At 54.8% G+C, this 21,083-nt stretch overlaps 2 protein-coding genes and 1 non-coding gene across 20 annotated transcripts, besides 3 other annotated features; 1 reads left to right on the top strand and 2 right to left on the bottom strand.

Moving 5' to 3' along the window:
* Positions 1–1,061: 1,061 nt before the first annotated feature.
* On the top strand, positions 1,062–11,608 carry LGI4 (leucine rich repeat LGI family member 4). 5 transcript variants are annotated; one of them, XM_017026429.1, is made up of 10 exons: positions 1,548–1,640; positions 2,017–2,088; positions 2,357–2,428; positions 2,732–2,803; positions 4,079–4,150; positions 4,261–4,332; positions 4,566–4,735; positions 9,104–9,268; positions 9,346–9,851; positions 10,614–11,608. In XM_017026429.1, the coding sequence occupies exons 7-10, from the start codon at positions 4,624–4,626 to the stop codon at positions 10,926–10,928; spliced, it is 1,098 nt and encodes a 365-aa protein (XP_016881918.1). In that variant the 5' UTR covers positions 1,548–1,640; positions 2,017–2,088; positions 2,357–2,428; positions 2,732–2,803; positions 4,079–4,150; positions 4,261–4,332; positions 4,566–4,623; the 3' UTR covers positions 10,929–11,608. The 5 variants fall into 5 exon arrangements, with proteins under 5 accessions (NP_644813.1, XP_016881918.1, XP_047294299.1 ...); XM_047438343.1 differs by having other exon boundaries at positions 2,677–2,803; NM_139284.3 differs by lacking the exon at positions 2,732–2,803 and having other exon boundaries at positions 1,062–1,610.
* Positions 11,727–11,816: an enhancer, noted in NCBI's record as "active region_14456". NCBI's record gives its function as "activates an Ori minimal core promoter by ATAC-STARR-seq in GM12878 lymphoblastoid cells {active_cell/tissue: GM12878}" and the evidence as "EXISTENCE:reporter gene assay evidence [ECO:0000049][PMID:35858748]".
* FXYD3 (FXYD domain containing ion transport regulator 3) lies at positions 11,797–20,298 on the bottom strand. Of its 14 annotated transcripts, NM_001136007.2 has the most exons (11): positions 20,162–20,298; positions 19,762–19,857; positions 18,743–18,864; positions 16,870–16,953; positions 16,705–16,758; positions 15,011–15,043; positions 14,876–14,899; positions 13,282–13,356; positions 13,167–13,203; positions 12,813–12,850; positions 11,797–12,680 (listed from the first exon to the last, which is right to left on the bottom strand). In NM_001136007.2, exons 3-11 carry the CDS (start codon positions 18,813–18,815, stop codon positions 12,664–12,666), a joined length of 435 nt encoding a protein of 144 aa, NP_001129479.1. In that variant the 5' UTR covers positions 18,816–18,864; positions 19,762–19,857; positions 20,162–20,298; the 3' UTR covers positions 11,797–12,663. The 14 variants fall into 14 exon arrangements, with proteins under 14 accessions (NP_001129479.1, NP_001374284.1, NP_001374278.1 ...); NM_001387355.1 differs by lacking the exon at positions 16,870–16,953 and having other exon boundaries at positions 20,081–20,298; NM_001387349.1 differs by lacking the exon at positions 18,743–18,864 and having other exon boundaries at positions 20,081–20,298.
* Positions 12,087–12,974: an enhancer, noted in NCBI's record as "H3K27ac-H3K4me1 hESC enhancer chr19:35614051-35614938 (GRCh37/hg19 assembly coordinates)". NCBI's record gives its function as "activates a minimal SCP1, AML or CMV promoter by ChIP-STARR-seq in primed H9 embryonic stem cells {active_cell/tissue: H9 hESC(primed)}" and the evidence as "EXISTENCE:reporter gene assay evidence [ECO:0000049][PMID:30033119]".
* Positions 12,975–13,864: an enhancer, noted in NCBI's record as "H3K27ac-H3K4me1 hESC enhancer chr19:35613161-35614050 (GRCh37/hg19 assembly coordinates)". NCBI's record gives its function as "activates a minimal SCP1, AML or CMV promoter by ChIP-STARR-seq in naive and primed H9 embryonic stem cells {active_cell/tissue: H9 hESC(naive and primed)}" and the evidence as "EXISTENCE:reporter gene assay evidence [ECO:0000049][PMID:30033119]".
* Positions 13,357–13,421, bottom strand: MIR6887 (microRNA 6887). Its single transcript, NR_106947.1, has one exon. It is a non-coding gene; the product is annotated as a microRNA 6887 (primary transcript).
* Positions 20,299–21,083: the final 785 nt, after the last annotated feature.

Below are 21,083 nucleotides of genomic sequence, written 5' to 3'. Positions count from 1 at the left end.
GAAGGCTGAGTGAGTATAAACATTACTACTATTTCATCTTAGCTAACAAGTGTCATTTACTTATGTTTCTTATTTAGTGGACAGAATCTATCCAAATGACTAAAATTTAGTCCAGATTAAAACAACCAATTATCCATCTATCCATGAACTCTGATCTCCAAAGAAAGAATGCAAAATAACCTGGAGCCGGATGCCTGGGTTTGAATCCCGGCTGTGCCCTCAGCTGGGTAACCTAGAGTTCAGGTTCCCTGACCTCTGTCTCCACTTCCTCCAGCTGTAAAGTGGTGATGATGACAGCACTAACTTCAGAGGGCTTTGGCAAGATCAGAATGAGTTAATAGATGAGCTTTTAGGACAAGGCCAGGCTCAGAGTAGACGCTGAAGAAGGGGTGGCATCATCATCATCATCTTCACCATCATCATCATCTTCATCATCATCATGTCCTCGGGTTGGTGCTGTCCCCCAGTGGGTGTTGGCCACTAGAGGGTTAATTTCAGGGTAGGGGAGGGAGGCTAAGGGCTTGGGGCCGGGCAGAGGTCCTGCCGAGTATGACCACCAGAGGGAGCAGCTGGACGTGATCTGGCCCCACTGACAGCGCCCAACACACCCTCCTGTAGCCAGGGGAGGGGGCTGGCAGAGAGTGGCCAGGACGGGATGTCCCCAGCCCCCCCAGGGCCTCTCCTCCCACCCTGCTCCAGAATGCAGAGCCATCTGGTCCCCACCCTGGTGACATCGTCCTCCTGCTCCCCCAATAGGGTTGAGTGGGGAATCTGGGGAGGGGGCTGGCGGGAGTGGTGGGGCGGCTCCAGCCCTTGGTGGCCCCTCCCCCTCCTGTGGGGCTGTCCAGTCCCTTCCCCCAAGGCCGACCTTCTCATGGCCTCTGACCCCCTCCTCCTTCCCATCCTACTCTGCCGGGTGTGCCGGGTGTCCAGCGAACCCCTTTCCCAAACCTTCGGGGAGAAGGGAGGTGGGAGGAGGCAAAGAAACTACAGGCAGGGAGCTGGAAGGGGGGGTGGGGGGGGCAGGAGACAAGAAATCAAGACACCAGGCAGCAGGACACACACACACTCACATACACTCACACACATAGAGACCAACAGATAGACAGCTACCTAAAGCCTGAAAGACTGACAGCAACACAGAAAAAAAGAAACAGGCAGAAAGAGAGACAAAGACAGAAATAGAAACAGACTAACACACAGAGTCAAAAATACAGAGACAGAAAGACAGGGAGAAAGAGAAACAGAAAATTAGACACCAAAGACATACGAACAGGGAGGAAGGCCGACTGAAAGAAAGACGGAGAAGAGGAGAGAGAAGCCAGGGCCGAGCGTGCCAGCAGGCGGATGGAGGGCGGCCTGGTGGAGGAGGAGACGTAGTGGCCTGGGCTGAGCTGGGTGGGCCGGGAGAAGCGGGTGCCTCAGAGTGGGGGTGGGGGCATGGGAGGGGCAGGCATTCTGCTGCTGCTGCTGGCTGGGGCGGGGGTGGTGGTGGCCTGGAGACCCCCAAAGGGAAAGTGTCCCCTGCGCTGCTCCTGCTCTAAAGACAGCGCCCTGTGTGAGGGCTCCCCGGACCTGCCCGTCAGCTTCTCTCCGACCCTGCTGTCACTGTGAGTGTCCAGCCTTCTGCATGCCCGAAGGTGGGGACGGAAGTCCTGGGACCCCAGAGGTTGGGATGTGGTGCCGGGTCTCCAGGGAAACAGGGGCCCATCAGGATCTCAGGAGATGGGCAGCAAAGCCTGTCGGGATGCCTTGAAGAGGGGTGCTGGCATCTGGGAAGGAGCAGAAGGAAACCCCAGAGGGCAGGGACAGCATTTGGGGCCCAGGAGGAGGGTTGAGTGCTGTCAGGGTCCTTGTCAAGCCAGGAGGGCAAATGCCTGCCTCCTCTGGCATGCAGGGGAGACACATCCAGGGTCAGGGTGGCACGCTGGGGTCTCCCGGATGGCAGAAGGTTCTGGTTTGCAACTGGAGTATTGCTGTGGTGTCCCTCTCACCTACCACTGCCCACATCCCCAGCTCACTCGTCAGGACGGGAGTCACCCAGCTGAAGGCCGGCAGCTTCCTGAGAATTCCGTCTCTGCACCTGCTGTGAGTGGGGCCTGGCTGGGCCGACAACCAGCTCAAGGGAGTGTGCGTTTATGCACATGTGTGGGAGTGTATGCTCACACAGATGTCAGGTGGGCATTGATGCACGTGTGTGGGGGTGTATGCACACGTCTGTACAAAAGCATTTGTGTCCATGCACATACTCACACCTGCGTGCCCATGCCCACCTAGGCTGAGGGTGGAGGCCAGGGTTAAAATGTCAGATGGGGGCTGCAATTCTGGAAAAATTTCTTTCTTGCCCCCTTGCCAGCCTCTTCACCTCCAACTCCTTCTCCGTGATTGAGGACGATGCATTTGCGGGCCTGTCCCACCTGCAGTACCTGTGAGTGAGGCCAGGGGATGGAGGCAGGTGGGTCTGGGCAAGGAGGGACCCTTCTGTGGCTCCCAGAGTAGGGGGAGATGGGAGCTGTGGCCCTGAGGAGCAGGTGTTTGGACATCATGGTGGGATGGTGTTGATAAAAATGGCGAACCCAATGGTGATGATGCTTTGGGTGATACTGATGAAGTTCTCAGGGCTGGTGTCAATGATGTTTATCAGTGTTGATTATCACCTCACTTCTCTGCTTCAAGATCTACAAAGGGCCCGGATAACCAGAGCCTGATTCTGGCTCTCCCTGACTCATAGAAACCCAGGAAGGGTGTACAGAAGTCAGAGACAAGAAACGTTTCAAATGACCAGGAAACAACTCTGAATTAGGTAGTGGTGGTGATACTGTGGTGGTGTTGAGGGTGGTGCTGACGATTGGGTAGTGGTGGTGATGGTGGCAGCGGTGGCAGTCACAGCATGACAATGCTGGCATTGGTGTGGGTCATGGCGTTGATGATAATGGCAGTGGTGATGACCCTGTTGCTGCTGCTGACATGGGATTGGTGGCATTATTGATGATGATGGAGTGGGGATGATGTTGGTAAAAATGGTAGCCCCAGTGGTGATGATGCTATGGATGAAATCACTGATGAAGTTCTTGGGGCTCGTGTCTGTGATAATTATCAATGTTGTGGGGGTGGGTCATTACAGTATTGGTGTTGATGTTGGTGATGGCTGTGGGTAGGATGTTGGGGTTGGTATGAATGGCAATGTTGTTGGTACTGGGTTGGTGATGATGGTGAAGGTGTTGGTATTTATGGAAACTCCGGCAGTGGTAGTACTGGTGGTGGGTGAATATGTGCATCTTGGGCATAATGGAGATGTGAGTGTTGGCAGTGTTGGTGGCGCTCATGCTGATGTGTGTGATAGTGCTGCATTGGAGATGCGGGTGGCAATCTTTTTGGTGTTGATCATGAAGATTGTGTTGTTGGTGATGATTATTAGTGTTGTTGGTGTGGAGTTTGGTAATGATGATATTGGTGATGGTGTTGATGGGAGTGGGTGGTGATGTTATTGGTGACAATGATGCTAGTGTTGGTGATGATAGTGGCAAGGTATAATGTTGGGGATAACAGCAGTTATTGGTCTTGGGGTTGATGATGGTAACAGACATGGGTGTTGGGGATGCTGGCATTGGGTTGGTCATTACAGATGATGCTGGAGGTAATGTGGTGGTGTGGGTGCTAGCACTGGTGGTGGTGATGGTGGTGGCAGGGTATGGTGTTGGGGATAATGGCAGTTATTGGTCCTGGGGTTGATGACAGTGATAAAGACATGGGTGTTGGGGATGCTGGCATTGGTGTTGGTCATTACCAATGATGCTGGAGGTATTGGTGATTTGGGTGTCAGCACTGGTGATGGTGATTGTGGTGGTGGCAGCAGGACAATGTTCACAGTGAAACTGGCAATGACTATGGGGCCAGTTTCATGGCTCCTAGAATTGATGGCTGGGACTTTGGGAGGAGAGGTTTTTGAGAGGCTTTCCCTGGGATTGTCCGTGGTATTGGAAGAGAATTCAGCACCTTCCAGTGGGCCTATGTCTTTCATGGGGTGCGTTCCCTGAAGCTCAGCGGGCCTCCCCCTGACCCCAGCTTCCCTCCACAGCTTCATCGAGGACAATGAGATTGGCTCCATCTCTAAGAATGCCCTCAGAGGACTTCGCTCGCTTACACACCTGTGCGTGCCTCCACCGCCCCAGCCCTCCATGAGAGGCACCCATGCTCCACCCCCCAGGGAACACAGGGTATCCTTGTGGCTGCTGACGGTGCCTTCTCTTCCTCCACCAGAAGCCTGGCCAATAACCATCTGGAGACCCTCCCCAGATTCCTGTTCCGAGGCCTGGACACCCTTACTCATGTGTGAGGCTCATGGGGGCTGGGAATGTGGGGGGTTGGGGAATGTTTGTGTCGGCGGGGGGCATCCGTGCCCACTTCTGGTTGGCGTGCATGCATTTGGCTGCAGTGGTTCTTACGTATTTTTCTTACCACTATGGGGCCCCATCTCTGGGGACACTTGCCTGAGGTGGGGGCAGGAGCATGGCCCCCAGGGCGTGGAAGCCGGGTCGCAGCCCCTCCCTGGCCTCTTGCCCCAGGGACCTCCGCGGGAACCCGTTCCAGTGTGACTGCCGCGTCCTCTGGCTCCTGCAGTGGATGCCCACCGTGAATGCCAGCGTGGGGACCGGCGCCTGTGCGGGCCCCGCCTCCCTGAGCCACATGCAGCTCCACCACCTCGACCCCAAGACTTTCAAGTGCAGAGCCATAGGTGGGGGGCTTTCCCGATGGGGTGGGAGGCGGGAGATCTGGGGGAAAGGCTGCCAGGGCCAAGAGGCTCGTCTCACTCCCTGCCCTGCCATTTCCCGGAGTGGGAAGACCCTGAGCAAGCAGCACTGCCTTCCTGAGCCCCAGTTTTCTCATCTGTAAAGTGGGGGTAATAAACAGTGATATAGGAGTGCCATGGGAATTCAATGATACATCTTCACGTGTTCGGCATTTGGCGCCGGGCCTGGGACAGGAGGTCCTTATAAACGTTCACCCTTGTTAACATAAAAGCAACCAATTTAAAAATTCTTCGTTAAGTGCCAAGTATTGCGCTAAGAACTGCAGGTGCAATGTCACCTCCTTTACATTGACTCGCCTTTTCTATAAATAGATTTTGTTGCCTTTTAGGATACTGGGCAGTGCAGAGAGCACAGAATGATGAGGCCAGCCCTGGGTCTCGCCCTCAAAGAGTTCAAAGTCCAGAGGAATGCAGGCCCAGACAGGACAGCCCAGGACGATCTGGGCAGGATGGGGAGGCCCAGCCAGAGGGGTCAGGGCAGGGATGGGGAAAGCTGTGGGAGCTGAGGGAGCCCAGAGTCAGGGCCAGGGCCACACAGAGCTGGGGGGACAGGAAGGGCTTCCTGAAGGAGTTTAAGCCTGAAGGGTCTTTACACAGATGCTCTTCTTTTCTAAGAGTTGGGGTCTCATTCTCTTGCCCAGGCTGGAGTGCAATGGCGCCATCATAGCTCACTGCAGCCTCAAACTCCTGTGCTCAAGAGATCCTCCTGCCTAAGCCTGACAAATAGCTGGGACTACAGGCATATGTTACTGTGCCTGGCTAATTTTTTTAAAAAACTTTTTTGTAGAGATAGGGTCTGGGAGATGCTACGTTGCCTAGGCTGGTCTTGAACTTCTGGCTTCAAGTGATCTTCCTACCTCAGCCTCCCAAAGTGCTGGGATTACAAGCATGTGCCACCACACCCGGCCACAGATGCTATGAATACAATAACAACAGCAATAATTATTATTATCTATAACAATATGAAGGGGACCTGCCCCTCCACACCTGTGGGTATTTCTCGCAAGGTGGAGAAGAGAGACTGAGAAAAGAAATAAGACACACAGACAAAGTATAGAGGAAGAAAAGTGGGCCCAGGGGACTGGCACTCAGCAAGTGAGGACCCGCGCCGGCACTGGTCCCTGAGTTCTCTCAGTATTTATTGATCACTATCTGTACTATCTCAGCGAGGGGGATGTGGCAGGACTATAGGGTAATGGTGGGGAGAGGGTCAGCAGGAAAACATGTGAGCAAAGGACTCTGTGTCATAAATAAGTTTAAGGAAAGGTACTGTGCCTGGATGTGCACGTAGGCCAGATTTATGTTTAACTTTACACAAACATCTCAGTGCAGTAAAGAGTAGCTGAGCAGTATTGCCGCCAGCATGTCTCACCTCCAGCCATAAGGCGGTTTTCTATCTCAGTAAACAGAATGTACGATCGGGTTTTACACCGAGACATTCCGTTCCCAGGGACGAGCAGGAGACAGATGCCTTCCTCTAATCTCAACTGCAAAGAGACCTTCCTCTTTCACCAATACTCCTCAGCACAGATCCTTTACAGGTGTCGGGCTGGGGGACAGTAAGGTCTTTCCCTTCCCACGAGGCCATATCTTAGGCTGTCTCAGTGCAGGGAAACCTTGGACAATACCCAGGCTTTCTTGGGCAGAGGTCCCTGCGGCCTTCCACAGTGCATTGTGTCCCCGGCTAATCGAGAATGGAGAATGGCAATGACTTTTACCAAGCATACTGCCTGCAAACACATTTTAACAAAGCACGTCCTGCATAGCCCTAAATTCATTAAACCATGAGTCAATATAGCACATGTTTCTGTGAGCACAGGGTTGGGGCTAAGTTCATAAATTAACAGCATCTCAAAGCAGAAGAATTTTTCTTAGTACAAATCAAAATGGAGTTTCTTATGTCTTCCTTTTTCTGCATAGACACAGTAACAGTCTGATCTCTCTTCCTTTCCCCCACAACATGTATATATAATATATATATAATTATATATGCATACATAATTATTATCAGCATATAATTATTATTATTCTAAGTGTAAGAAAGACATGTTTTTGGTCTGTGGGACACATAGAAGAAGGGGATTTAACTTAGGGAGTCCCTCTTCATTCAAGTTATCCAACAAATGTTCACTGAAGTCCACTCAGTGCCCAGCCCTGTGAGAGGTGATGGTCACTGTGGTTGCGACCTGAGCCGTGGCCTTACGGGACTTACAGTCCTGGGAGTTTGGGGAGATGGACATTTAACAAACACGGCACAGATCAATGTGTGCTATACGTTGTGATAACTACAAGGAGTGATGAGAGAATGAGGGTTCCTATGGGAGTCAGAGAAGGCTTCTCTCAAGTGGGGATGTTAGGTCTCGATGTGGCTAAGTGAGGAACAGAGGGAAGGGCTCTTCAGAGAGAGGGAACAGCCTGGCCGGTGGCCCTGAGGCAGCATACAGTGTGCCCTGTTTGAAGATCAAACGAAGGCAGGTGTGGCTCAGGGGTAGTGAGTGGAGGGACAGGTATGGATTTTGGAAGCCACAGAGAGGAGAGGAGACTTTATTCTGGGCCATGGCAAGAATAGAAAGTTTTTTGTATGTTTGTTTGTTTATTTGAAACAGGATCTCACTCTGTCGCCCAGGCTGGAGTTCAGTGGTACAATCACGGCTCACTGAGGCCTTGACCTCCCCAGGCTCAGGTGATCCTCCTGCCCCAGCCTCCCTGGTAGCTGGGGCTACAGGTGCACCACCACCATGCCTGCTAATTTTTTGTATTTTTTGTAGAGATGGGGTTTTCACCATGTTGTCCAGGCTGCTCTCGAACTCCTGGGCTCTACTGATCCATCTGCCTTGGCTTCCCAAAATGTGGGGATTACAGGCGTGAGCCACCACTCTCGGCTGAGAGTTTTGAGCAAGAGGTGATTTGATAGCCATTTAAAAAAGATTCGCCCTTTAGGTGGGCATTATATGTAGTTTGGCTCATTGCTTCAACGCTGGCACCTGGAAACAGGGCCTGGCACGCAGAGTGAAATATTACAGCCTGGAGTCAACTGCCCAGCTCCCCTACTAACAAGCGGAGCAGCCTTGGTGCCCCAGTGACAATGAAAGCCAAGCCGCTGTCACAAACTCTCAAAATACCATGAATTAAGGATAGAAGGATCTGGAGTGAGCTGTCCAGGTACGTGGGGCAGTCCCTGGGCATTGTCCTTGCTTTCAGGCTTGAAACCAGGTTGTGGCACACCCACGTGGTGGGAAAGGAGACCAAGTTGGGACAAGCTGTTTCCAGGTGTGGTGGCTCATTACACTCATCACATCTGCCCTTGTTCCACTGGTTACTCAGTCTCAAAACAGCCACATCTAACTTTCAGCGAGGGCGGTGAATGGGGGTCCCGGGATAATGCAGCCTCTAGCTGGGTGGCCTGGTGACCAGCTCCAATCCTCTCTCCTGGAAGGTGGGAAGGATGGATTTTGTTGGATAACAGACTGCCTGTGCCAGTTAGCCTTTGTTTTCTCATCTGCGAAGGGGAAATCATCACAGAATGTACCTCACAGGGATGTTGTGAAGTTAAATGAATTAATCCAGATGCTGTTTCTAAGGGATTATTTGGTGATGCCACACAGCTTAGAAAATAAGATTTATGGGCCGGGCACGGTGCCTCACGCTTGTAATCCCAGCACTTTGGGAGGCCGAGGCGGGCAGATTATGAGGTCAGGAGTTCGAGACAAGCCTGGCCAACATGGTGAAACCCCATCTCTACTAAAAATACAAAAATTAGCTGGGCGTGGTAGCGGGCGCCTGTAATTCCAGCTACTCGGGAGGCTGAGGAAGTAGAATTGTTTGAACCCAGGAGGTGGAGGTGGCTCATGTCTGTAATCCCAGCACTTTGGGAGGTCAAGGCAGGAGGATCTCTTGAGCCTAGGAATTCCAGACCAACCTGGGCAACATAGCAAGACTCCATCTCTGCAAAAAATAAAAAAATAGCCAGCCATGGTAGCACACACCTGTAGTCTCAGCTTAAGAGGCTGAGGAAGGAGGATTGCTTGAGCCTAGAAGGTGGAGGCTGCATTGAGCTATGATTGTGCCACTGCACTTCAGCCTGGGAGACACAGTGGGACCCTGTCTCAAAACAAAACAAAATACCCCTCGACCCAAACCAAACAAACATCTACAGATCAAGATTCCAGTTATATGTCCCTATGAGGGGGGTACCATGAATGGCCTCCATTTCAGAGATGTAGGCAAACTGAGGCTCAGCAATGAGGACCCTGGGGGTCCTGGGGCCTGCCTGACTCTCTTCTCCACCCACAGAGCTGTCCTGGTTCCAGACGGTGGGGGAGTCGGCACTGAGCGTAGAGCCCTTCTCCTACCAAGGGGAGCCTCACATTGTGCTGGCACAGCCCTTCGCCGGCCGCTGCCTGATTCTCTCCTGGGACTACAGCCTGCAGCGCTTCCGGCCCGAGGAAGAGCTGCCCGGTGAGCCCCCTCCCCGTCCTTCTGCCTGTCCAGCAGCCTGCCTGGCTGGCCTGACCTGCCTCCCCACCTCCCCACAGCGGCCTCCGTGGTGTCCTGCAAGCCACTGGTGCTGGGCCCGAGCCTCTTCGTGCTGGCTGCCCGCCTGTGGGGGGGCTCACAGCTGTGGGCCCGGCCCAGTCCCGGCCTGCGCCTGGCCCCAACGCAGACCCTGGCCCCGCGGCGGCTGCTGCGGCCCAATGACGCCGAGCTCCTGTGGCTGGAAGGGCAACCCTGCTTCGTGGTGGCCGATGCCTCCAAGGCGGGCAGCACCACGCTGCTGTGCCGCGACGGGCCCGGCTTTTACCCGCACCAGAGCCTGCACGCCTGGCACCGGGACACGGACGCTGAGGCCCTGGAGCTGGACGGCCGGCCCCACCTGCTGCTGGCCTCGGCTTCCCAGCGGCCCGTGCTCTTCCACTGGACCGGTGGCCGCTTCGAGAGACGCACAGACATCCCCGAGGCCGAGGATGTCTATGCCACACGCCACTTCCAGGCTGGTGGGGACGTGTTCCTGTGCCTCACACGCTACATTGGGGACTCCATGGTGAGGCTGGGCCTGGGGGCGGGGGGCTGGCTTTTCAGCACTGACCCAATCTTGCACACTAAGCCTCTAAACTCTGACCTACCCTCACATGCCGACCTTTGAACCAGGACCCCACCCCACACTGATGCCAAGACTCTGACCCCCTCAAGGCTGGCTGACTCCGAACCACTCCCCAGTCCCCGACACTGATGCTGGCCCCAACATCCTGATTCTACCCCCAAATGCTGGCTCTGTGACTCGGATGCATTCCAGACTTCACCACAGCCACACCTGTCCCCACCCTGACACTGAGCCCCCAAGGCTGATGCTAGGGTTAAGCACTGCCCACTGTTTCTGGAGTGAGGTGCAGGCAGGGGAGGGTTCTGAGTCTGGAAGGGCCCTGATCTGACTCAGGTGTTCACAAGGTCTCTGGGTGGGGAACAGACTGGGGGAGCAGGGAGAGGAGCCTAGAGGCCAGGGAAGAGGCTGCCAGGATGGTCCAGTCAGGAGGGGATGGAGTTCAGCCAGAGGTGGTGGGAGAAATGTACAACTGTAGAAGGTGAAACTGACAGAGTCCATGGCTGAGTGCTTCTGTGTGGGGCGTGAGGGCAAGGGAAGGGCTCAGAACAACTGCATGTGTGTGGCCGAACAGGTGGGTGGTGACTTTTATGAAGATAAGAAAGCTATGGGAGTTTTGGGACCGACAGGCTTCTGCTTCCAAGCTGTTCCACGGCCCCCAGAGACCCCCGGGACCCCAGGCCCTCACTGGCCACACCCCCACAGGTCATGCGCTGGGACGGCTCCATGTTTCGTCTGCTGCAGCAACTTCCCTCGCGCGGTGCCCACGTCTTCCAGCCACTGCTCATCGCCAGGGACCAGCTGGCCATCCTAGGCAGCGACTTCGCCTTCAGCCAGGTCCTCCGCCTTGAGCCTGACAAGGGGCTCCTGGAGCCACTGCAGGAGCTGGGGCCTCCGGCCCTGGTGGCCCCCCGTGCCTTTGCCCACATCACTATGGCCGGCAGACGCTTCCTCTTTGCTGCTTGCTTTAAGGGCCCCACACAGATCTACCAGCATCACGAGATCGACCTCAGTGCCTGAGACCACCAACGGGACTCTGGGCATGGCTGGGGCCCCTGGACGGCCCCTTGGCTGGCTCCTGGCCCTACTTGGGGTGATGGCCCGCCTGTGAGCTGCTGACCGTGGGCCACGTTCATCAGCCACACGTCTAGGCCTTAAGCCCACTTCTTAAAGGATCTGCACCCATGGGGGGACATAGAGGGTCCCAGCCTACTGGACCTCCCGAGCTGCCCTTCAGGTCTAAAGCAACATCTGGACATCTCGGCTGGGGCAGATTCCCCATCAAAGGCAACCTGGGGGGTGCAGGCTGGTGCACTGCATGGAGTCGAGGTGGAGGTCACGTGCAGAGCTCCATGAGGTCCCGGAGCCCCCCTCTCAACCCGCTCCTACCCCGCTGGTCCCTCTGAAAGCACCGAGGGGTTGATGGCATTCCTTTCCCATTCTAAACTCCACGCAGCCAATCGCTTTCCTGGAGGAGCGCCAACCTCGAAGACAACTCAGCACTGGGCGGGTTCCCCTCTGCTGCTTGTGCGCATGCGTGCGGCCGCCCAGCAAGCTGTGCCTTTTGCGCCTCTTGCGCGTGCGCCGGGGCACAGGGAGGGACAGCGGGAGGTGTCGCGGGGAGCCTGGTGCCCTTCTAGATGGGCGACGGAGGCAAGGACAAGACGAGTCCGAGCTCAATAAATGCGCTGTGCACCCTCCCCGCCCAGTGTTGTGGATCCTTGGGAGAGGATGTCCTGTGAACGGCACAGGGCGGGGATGGTGTCCCTGGAGCAGTGCTCGGAGCGGCCCAGGTCCCAGGGAGGCGTTTCCGCAGTTCATGGTCTCTGAGTGTGGGTTCGTGGTTATGGAGGGACTCAGGGGATGTTTGAGGGATAAAACGGCATGATGAGGGGACAAGTCACGAGTTTATTGTGGGTCTCTTTTTGGGTTCATGTTTCAGGACATTGGAGGAGATATTTTTGGGTGTTTTGAGTTTTAGGCGTGTTGTGGGGTAGTTCATGAGAACATTTCGCATGCCTTATTAGGTATTGGGGAGTCTCAAGGGACTTTGAGGCTTGTTGGAAGTTCTCACACTATGTGGTCATTGTATGTTATTAAGGGTAGCATAGGGAATTATTTAACGGGCTTGCAGGGACATTTGGGTATTTGGAAAGATCTTGTAATAAAGTGAGGTCTCGGGGTAAGTGAGAGGGTCACAGGGGCTTACTATTATAAACTGTCTGAACACTTCCATCATAGCGGGACGATCCTATGTCCCAGTTTTCCTGGAATGGTCCAGGGTCCACTGGAATGTTCCAGTGTTCCATCTGGTTAGAGCTCTCTTTCATTCCTTTTGGCTACTAGTAAATCCCAAATTGCATATGAGGTTCCCATGGCTGAGGAGGCAGAGGGCGGGCCTGTGCCATGTCCCAAGCCACAAGGGAACAGGCCTGTGGGCTTTTCCCAACAAGCAGGCTCAGTGCCAGCCTCTGTGTCAGCCTCCAGGGCACGCCAACCTTCTCATGGTGCCCCAAGCCCCACCCCAATGCACACATAGGAAGTCTCCAGGCTGCTTGGGCAGAGGCACAATCATTTTAGATTAAAAAAAATTGAACAAAGAGACCCTCTTGCGAGAGGTGAGATGAGGCCCTGCCATGCAAAGGAGTCCCAGCAGAGGAGGAAGAATTCCATCCTGGAGTTCAAGTTTCTGTGCAGAGACAGGACCTGGGGACAGAGAACGGTCCTCCACCCAATTTCAGCTGGTCTGTCCTCATCAGCTTTGGGCTGAGCCTGCGGGAAGTGATGGGGTCCGTTTGTGAGGGTGGATTGAGTTCTTTTCTTTCCAGTGTGCAAACACACACATACACACACACACACACACCACTTCCGTGTTCCCCTGAGCCCCATGCTGCCCCATCTTACCTGGGGTGATGAGAGGTGGAGTCTCCCCTGGATGGTGACTAAGGAGACAAAAGTGGTGAGATTGGTGTCCGCCCCCATTTGCCCTCTCCCTCCGGATAGAGGGTTCTTAGCCTGCCCAGACATGTCTTCCTGGCTGCCTTTCCATTTGGGGGGTTGTGCAATCCCAGGGGCCAAAGCATTTCAGGATTTGGGGCCCCCTGGGGATTACCAGCTAGAAACAATAAACCTGGAAATCTTAGCGGCAGGAACTCTAAAGGGCAGAGCCCCGAGGCCTCTCCTGCTGGGAGAGTTAGCCCTTTCACCCTGAAAAGCGTCCAGTCAGCCTGAGGCGGGCATGCCGGAACAGTATCTTACCCGGACTTCTGGCCAAACTTGCATTTGCATTTTGCACCTGTTGGGGAGAGCTGAGTGGTCAGGGGAGGGGAGCCCCAGCCCCGGCCCGCCTGCTCCCCCGAGCTCCTCCACTCACTCATGACGATGATGATGCCCATGGCGCACAGAACCCCAGCGCAGATGAGCCCGCCAACCTGGAGGCTGTGCCAGTCTAGGAGGAAAGTGGAGGGGACCTCAGTGCCAGCCTGTGTCCTCTCCATCTGTCCCCCCATTCTCTTGACAAATATATATGGAGCACCTAGGATGCACAGGGTGCTGGGGACACCGCCATAAGAAAACAGACAAAATCCCAGGTGCTCACATTCTGGTTCACACACCAGCAAACACGATCTGTCGTGCAGGGTCAGGCAGAGATAAGTGGTTTGAAGAAAAATAAGTGGGGTGGGAGATGGAAAGTCAGAGGGCGGGCTGGGCATAGTGGCTGACACCTATTAGGTTGGAGCAAAAGTGATTGCGTTTTTGGCTAGACATGGTGGCTCACGCCTGATATCCCAGCACTTTGGGAGGCCAAGGTGGGCGGATCACCTGAGGTCAGGAGTTCCAGACCAGCCTGGCCAACATGGTGAAACCCCGTCTTTACTAAAAATACAAAAATTAGCCAGGCATGGTGGTAGGCGCCTGTAATCCCAGCTACTCAGCAGGCTGAGGCTGGAGAATCATTTGAACCCGGGAGGCAGAGGTTGCAGTGAGCCAAGATTGCACCATTGCACTCCAGCCAGTCACACTCTGGGTGAAAGAGCAAAATTCTGCCTCAAAAAAAAAAAATTGCATTTTTGCCATTAAAAGCAGTTGCAAAAACCACAATTACTTTTGAACCAACCTAATATAATCCCAGTGCTTTGGGACTTCAGGAGTTCAGGAGTTCTAGACCAGCTTGAGCAACATAGTGAGAACCCATCTCTACAAAGTATACAAAAATTAGCCAGGCATGGTGGTGTATGCCTGCAGTCCCAGCTATTCAGGAGGCTGAGGCAGGAGGATCGCTTGAGACCAGGAGTTTGAGGCTGCAGTGAGCTATGATTACACCACAGCACTCCAGCTTGGGCAACAGTGTGAGACGCTGTCTCTAAAACAAAAAAAAAGTCAGATGGCAGCTCTTTTAGAGGGAGTTGTCAGGGAAGGCCTCTCAGGGGGCTGCATTTGAGCAGAGGGAAGGGAGGGAGCCATGTGGTTCTGTGGAAGGAAGTGTTCCAGGCAGAGGAACCAGCAGGTGCAGAGGTCTGAGGCTGGCAGTATGTCTGCTGTGTCTGAGAGGCTTGGAGCAGAAGGAATGAGGAGCGTGGAGAGGTGAGGGCAGAGCGGGGAGTAGGGAGCAGGTCATTGGAACCTGGAGGCCAGATGAGGGTTTTGATCCAATAGCTCACCACCTCCAGGAAGTTTTCTCAAGTCAACACTTCTCCCAGCAGTTGATCTGAACCAACCAATGGCTTCTTGCAAACTGTCCTCACCTCCTGCGTGTGTCTATCTTGCTGGAATAGAACCTTCCCAAAGGCCAGGTTGCTGCCTCTAGTTCCTTTAATCCACTGTGTGGCATATTCAGTAACCCCATCCTAGTCCCTTCGTATCTTTGTCCTGTGATGCTCACGTCAGGCCCCAACCCTGTATGGGAACCCTTGGCACCAAGCAGTATGTGGGGTTGTGGGGAGGGGAAAGGGGGCACGGGCTCTCACCATAGTAGAAAGGACTGTTTTTATCTGCAAGGAAAGAAAAAAGATCATGAATCCAGGATTACAGCCAGGATGCAGGCCTTCCCCACCCAGGGGAGAATTTGGGGGTGTGACGGGTGAGAGTCCAGTCTGACTCACCTTCTAGGTCATTGGCGTCCAGGACAGGAAAGCCTAGTGGGAGAAGAGGGGAAGGAGGGGAGATGGTGATGCCGGCCTCAGCCAAGCCTTTGGGCAGGGCCTGGGGAGTTTCAGGGGCCTTGGGAAAGGGTCTCCTGCGGGACAGGGGTCCTGTCACTGAGCAGCCACCTCATCCCCTCATATCCCAACGAGGAAATGTGGACTCGCCCACTCAGCCCCACACCTCCGAGTCACGCCAGCATTCTGCCACCTGAAATGGGTTCTAATCTAGGAGGTTTTTAGCCACTATTTGGTCTCATGTTTCCAGACACGTGGTTAATCCATGCCTCCTGCAGCAGCGGGGGACTTTTCTGGTCAAGACGACAGATGGTTTCAGTTCCCAGATTCCTGTTTCCCCAAGTCCAATCATGCTCAAAGCCCATCCTCCCGCTTCCACCATGTCCACACCCACCTGGTCTGGTGTTTGCACATCATTGAAAATGACTCACTATTATACACTTAAATAGACTTTATTGAAAATGTAATTTTAGATCACTACCCTGCAGGGAATACTGGTCTTGCCCTATGTAATGGACAAAAAGTGTGCCTGTAATCCCAGAGCTTTGGGAGGCTGACGTGGAAGGATCTCTTGAGCCTGGGAGGTCAAGGCTGCAGTGAAAAAGTAAAAAGCGGGCTGGGCACAGTGGCTTAGGCCTGTAATCCCAAAACTTTGGAAGGCCGAGGCAGGAGGATCACTTGAGGTCAGGAGTTCGAGACCAGCCTGGCCAATATGGTGAAACCTTGTCTCTTCTAAAAATACAAAAGTTAGCCAGGCATGGCAGCACACGCCTGTAATGCCAGCTACTTGGGAGGCTGAGGCAGGAGAGTCGCTTGAACCTGGGAGGTGGAGGTTGCAGTGAGCCGAGATCATGCCACTGCACTCCAGCCTGGGCAACAGAGCGAGACTCTGTCTCCGAAAAAAAAAAAAGAAAAGAAAAAAGGGAAAAGTGTTTGGAAGTTAAAGATGCAGTCGCACTGAGCTGAGCCTTCTACTTGAAGTTTTTAGAGAACTGGCAGGGCAGTTATCTTCTTTCAGTGCTTTGAAGGTGTCATTTCATCATCTTCTCTAGCTTCCGTTATTTCTGTTTAATAGTCAATCAAGGCCAGTGCAGTGTGGCTCATGCCTGTAATCCCAGCACTTTGGAAGGCTGAGGTGGGAGGATCAAACTCAGCCAGGAGTTTGAGACCAGCTTGGGCAACACAGTGAGACCTCGTCTCTGCAAAAAATCAAAAATGCACTGGGCATGGTGGCGTGTGCCTGGCATTCTAGCTGTGTAGGAGGCTAAGAGAGTAGGATCGCTTGACCCCAGGAGTTCAAGGCTGTAGTGAACTGTGATTGCGCCATTGCACTCCAGCCTGAGCAACAGAGACTCCCTTTCAAAAACAAAAACAAAAACAAAAACAAAAACAAAAAAAGCCAAAAAAAAAGAAGAGATCGAGAGAATGGGGAAGACGGTGACTTTCCAGCTGTGTGAGCCAGCTCTTCTCGTGTATCCCCGGCTATCACTAGTCTGACTTTTCTTACCCTCAGGGAGATGCTGTTCTAACATTTACCACCTTCCCGGGGAGGTAGAAAAGCACAGGAGAGAGACAGAGGTTGGATCCCCGCATCCAGGGGATCCAGAGGAAAAGGCAGACGGGGGATGGGTACTCACCTGCCAGGAACACAAGCAGGCCCAGGGTCACCTTCTGCATGTCAGAGCGCTGGCCTAGAGGGGTGGCGGGAGGTCTGGCCTTAGCAGAGCCACCGGGAGGCTGGCCCTGTGCCTGTGGCTCCCCAACCCTCCTCCCCTGCTCCCCAGGCAGGGTGCGCAGCTCACCCGGGACAGGAAGGCTGGCATCTCGCTGGGCTGAGAGATAAGCCGCAGCTGCACCGTGGAGTGGGGACTGGGTGAAACTCGGGCCTGAGGCGGGAGGAGCCATAATAACTCACTGGACATGGACTTCAGGCTTTCTGGGAATCGCCCCGCAACCAAACAAGGGCGCCACTGCCCGCTGTTGTCCTCACTGGACAGATGGGGAGACTGAGGCTCTGAGAGGTGAAACTAGGTGCTCTAGCCAGGAAGTAGGATTTAAGCCAGGCCTGGCTCCCCAGCAGCTGCTCCTAACTAGGGACTGTCAGGGCCTTGGGGTGTTTGGGGAAGCGGGGCATTGGGAGCCAGGCGGCAGGAGGCCCGCTTCCCAGGAGTGTCTCCGTAGACCGCTCAGAGCCTGCCCGGCCCTGCCAGGACATTGCAGACTTCAGGCTGAGGACTGAGCAGGTTCTTCAAGCTGCTTGGGGGTGGGGTGGTGTGTGGAGGAATTGACGTGAGGCTGGGACTGGGGGTAGAGGGGGACTCTACCTCCTGGCTGCAGCCCTAGCTCCATCTCTGTTCCCCCGAACCTCCTGCCCCTCATCCCACACCCATGCCCTTCCCGGTCCCAGCCCTGGCTCTGCCTAGCCGGGGTCCCCAGCCCAGCCCCTGACCCTACCCTAGGCCCAGCAGAGTTCCTGGTGACAGCAAACACTTTCTCTTTCCCAGGTAGACCTGCTCAGCATAAGGAACTCGTTTCTCTCTCCTTCCTGACCTGGCATCAGTCCTGCCCTCTCACCAGCCTGCAAGGCTGCACCAAGCCCTGGCCTCCGAGCATGCCCTCCCCTGCCCTGTCCCTGCCCTGTCCCTGCCCAAATGCTGAGTGCATAGTTATCATAATTGTTTTTTTTTTTTTTTTTTTTGAGGCGGAGTTTCACTCTGTCACCCAGGCTGGAGTGCAATGGCATAATCTCAGCTCACTGCAACCTCTGCCTCCTGGGTTCAAGTGATTCTCCTGCCTCAGCCTCCTGAGTAGCTGAGACTACAGGCGTGTGCCACCAGTCTCGGCTAATTTTTGCATTTTTGGTAGAGCCAGGGTTTCACTGTGTTGGCCAGGCTGGTCTCCAACTCCTGACCTCAGGTGATCCACCCACCCCGGCCTCCCTCAGTGCTGGGATTACAGGTGTGAGCCACCACGCCTGGCCTAGTTATAATTTTGATAGCGAGAGCTGGCACTTCCTCCACCTTGCCCTGGAGTGCACACTGACCTTGCCGTGTTCTCACTCACTTAACCCCCCAGCAATCCCCGACGTCGTCCACTATGTCCTCATTTCACGAACAGCAAAAATGCTGAGAGAGGGTGGTGCCCGCAACCAACGGTGCGGGTGGTCCTTGCAGGTTGGCACAGACTCCTCCCTCTGCCTGGCACCCCAGGGCCTGGGAATCCTCTCAGCTTCCCAGTTAATTCCACATGCTGAACTCACAATTTTAGTTGGAGCATCCATTTCTTTTCCTTTTTTTGCGGGAAGAAAGCCTGAGGCTTTGGGGAGCATTACTGAGGCCCAGGAAGTGTTTAGGATCCCCAAAAGTGTTGGGGGTTGGGGGAGCTGGCGTGGGTGGGTGGGCAGGATGGCATGTTGGATAGGGGCACAGGTTGTAGGTGGACTGCCTGTGGTCTGAAGCTGTCACCCATGACCATACGAGTCCTGGTAATAACAGCAGATGCTTATTGAGTGTCTACCCCATGGGGGCATTTTCTCAGCTTCCCACTTACTCGCTCAATCTCTGCAGCTTAATGCAGGGGGCACTATTATTAGCCCACATTGCAGTTGTAATCCTGTAACCCCTGCAAATTCATCTTAAAGCCCTATGCTCTGTCGCCATGGCTGTTGAGTCTCACCTCTTAAGCCTCTTTCCAGGGGCTCCTCCAAGCCACCTCTGGCCTGCAAGGCCCCACTATACCCCCTTCCCATGATGTCATCCAGCCAAGACTGACAGATGGTATCCTCCTCGCCCCAGCCTCTGCAAAACAACGTCCAGTCCCATGCTTCCGGAGGCTGCAGGGAGCCGGGAGCTGGGTCTGCCCTCACGTTCCCCATTCAGGCTGTTGTCTGAAGAGGCTGTGGGCTGCTCCCGAACTGATGTGGTTGGTGAGCAGGTTAGAGAGGAAGGCAGCCCTGCAGCTGATGCTCTGTCTACCTGCTCTCATCCTTCCTGGCCATGAGGTCCCAAGGCCGGCCTGAGGACTGTTTCCCCCACCTGCCCTCTGCTATCCCCTCTATTCCTCCATACCATGGGAGAATGGTCTCATGTTCAGGGGTGGGTAGAAAGATCCTGCCCGCTGTGTGCTCCTGAAATCTCCCAAGCAACTCCCCATTTAAAGCTTCCCCCAGCAGCTCCATCCTTTTTTCCTGGAGGTCTCCAGAATCCAGATCCCTCAATGTCTGGACACCCCGAGTCCACCCAGCACTCCTTATCCACCCAGATCCCTCAATGTCTGGACACCCCGAGTCCACCCAGCATTCCTCATCCACCCAGATGTCCCCAGTCCATCTACGCACCCCTGGTCCACTTAGATACCCCTACCTACCCAGGCACCCCCTCTCCTCCACCCAGCTATCCCCAACCCAGATATCCCTAATCCATGCAGACACTAGTCTTTCAGACACCCCAACCACACTTATCAGTCCTGCCCTCACCTCAGCTGGTTCAACAAGTCCCTGAGAGGAGAATGGTGGGGAAAGGGACATTAGGGGAAGGGACTTCCGTTTATCTCCTGGCTCCAGAAAAGCATTTCACAAGATTTTAGGCGCTTTAACATAAAAGCTTCTATGGGGCAGGGTCAGGGGGCAGGTAGATACTTCCTAATTTAGGGGCAGAGACAAGGAGGGCTTGGAGGAAGGGGCCCCAGCTGCTCACCTGTGTGGTTCACCAGGCTGAGCAGAGGTTCCGGGAGAAATCGGGCTGCCAGGCGGAGTCCTGCGTTTATCCGAAGCTGCCACGCCCTAAGCAAACCTGGGCAGGTAGAAAACAAGTCAGATGCCCTGAGGCCCAGGGGCTCCATTCCTGCTCTTAAAGAGACAGCTTCACCCCCTCCCCAGCCATGGGCGGCAGGTTGCTCCCTGGGGTCACCAGGACCACAGCAGCCTCAGGTGAGACGGAGAATTGGATGGGCTGGAACTCGGCCCCTGGAATTAAGGGAGGAGCTTTCTCCAATCTCCTGTGCCCAGGAGAGGACCTTGAATGGGGAAGGTTCTGGGGTCTTTAAACGGCAGAGCCTCCAGGGCCATGCAGTGAGATGATGCGTTGGTGTTCCGACCTCACTTCTTTTCCTTAGATGATGTGTTTTGCCTGGTGGAAGGATTGCTGGCAGTTGTGGAGAACTTAAAGTCCCCTTCCAGGCCACATCTTGCCGCTGGTACAATTTCAGGATCAGCAGAAGATGCTAGCGTGACCAAAGTCAGGAGATGGGGCAGGGGTGGATATGAGGGAGCGGCTGGAACAGCAGGGAGGGGTCAGGGTGGGGACTCTGGGACCTTAGTCCTGGTCATAACCTGCTCCCTGCCCTGGGGAGAATGAGAACTGTCTGCCAGGCACCAGGCTGCAGTTTCCTAGCCAGGCTCTTTCCGTGGGTGCTGGGAGCCAGACGCCTGGGTCTACAGAGTGGGTGCTGGTGGGGGCGGCTGCCTCCTAGTCCACATAAGGCCCCCAGCACTGTACAAGCCTCCCTCCCCCTTTCCTCCCCTGTCTCCTGCTCCTCCTCCTCCAGGCATTCCTTCCGGATGGGGTCTGTGCAGGCTCCCCCATGGTCCCAGTTGGGGGTGCCCCCTCCCCTCAATTCCGCCTTCTTAGACAGAGGGACTTTTGTCTGGGGGCTGGATGGAGAACAAGGATCCTTTGAGCGGTTGGCGGAGGATTGGGGTCACGGGGAGGGGTAGGGCCAGGAAAGGGGTAGCTCTGCCCTGGACACCAGCTGGACTCCAGGCGACCCCAACACCACCGTGGGGGCGGGGAGGAGGGCTGCAGGGCCTGGCCAGGGAGAAGCAGCTGCTGGGAGTGTGGAGCACAGGACAGGAAAAGGGGGTTTGGGTCAAGGCTCTTCCGGAAACTGGCCTGCTGGGGGCAGAGAGAAGGACCCCCCACTTGTCATCGCTGAGGGATCGGGGAGGGCAATGTTCGCCCAGCGCTACACCCCTTCTCTATGTGGTTCCCTGGGGCAAGTTGTCAAGCCCAGGTCCTAG

Source organism: Homo sapiens, chromosome 19, assembly GCF_000001405.40.
Source record: "Homo sapiens chromosome 19, GRCh38.p14 Primary Assembly".
NCBI lineage: Eukaryota > Metazoa > Chordata > Mammalia > Primates > Hominidae > Homo > Homo sapiens.
This window is presented reverse-complemented; position numbering and strand designations above follow the sequence as displayed.

Bases quoted from the DNA above. Each gene is read 5' to 3' on its own strand.
- LGI4 (NM_139284.3), top strand. From the start codon at position 1,441: ATGGGAGGGGCAGGCATTCTGCTGCTGCTGCTGGCTGGGGCGGGGGTG. The intron at 1,611-2,016 runs GTGAGTGTCCAG...CCACATCCCCAG, and splicing joins TCTCCGACCCTGCTGTCACT to CTCACTCGTCAGGACGGGAG. The intron at 4,151-4,260 runs GTGCGTGCCTCC...TTCCTCCACCAG, and splicing joins CTTCGCTCGCTTACACACCT to AAGCCTGGCCAATAACCATC.
- FXYD3 (NM_001136007.2), bottom strand. From the start codon at position 18,815: ATGGGAAGGGGGTATAGTGGGGCCTTGCAGGCCAGAGGTGGCTTGGAG. The intron at 14,900-15,010 runs GTGAGTCAGACT...CTTTCCTTGCAG, and splicing joins GGACGCCAATGACCTAGAAG to ATAAAAACAGTCCTTTCTAC. The intron at 13,204-13,281 runs GTGAGTGGAGGA...TCTCCCCAACAG, and splicing joins GGGCATCATCATCGTCATGA to GTGCAAAATGCAAATGCAAG.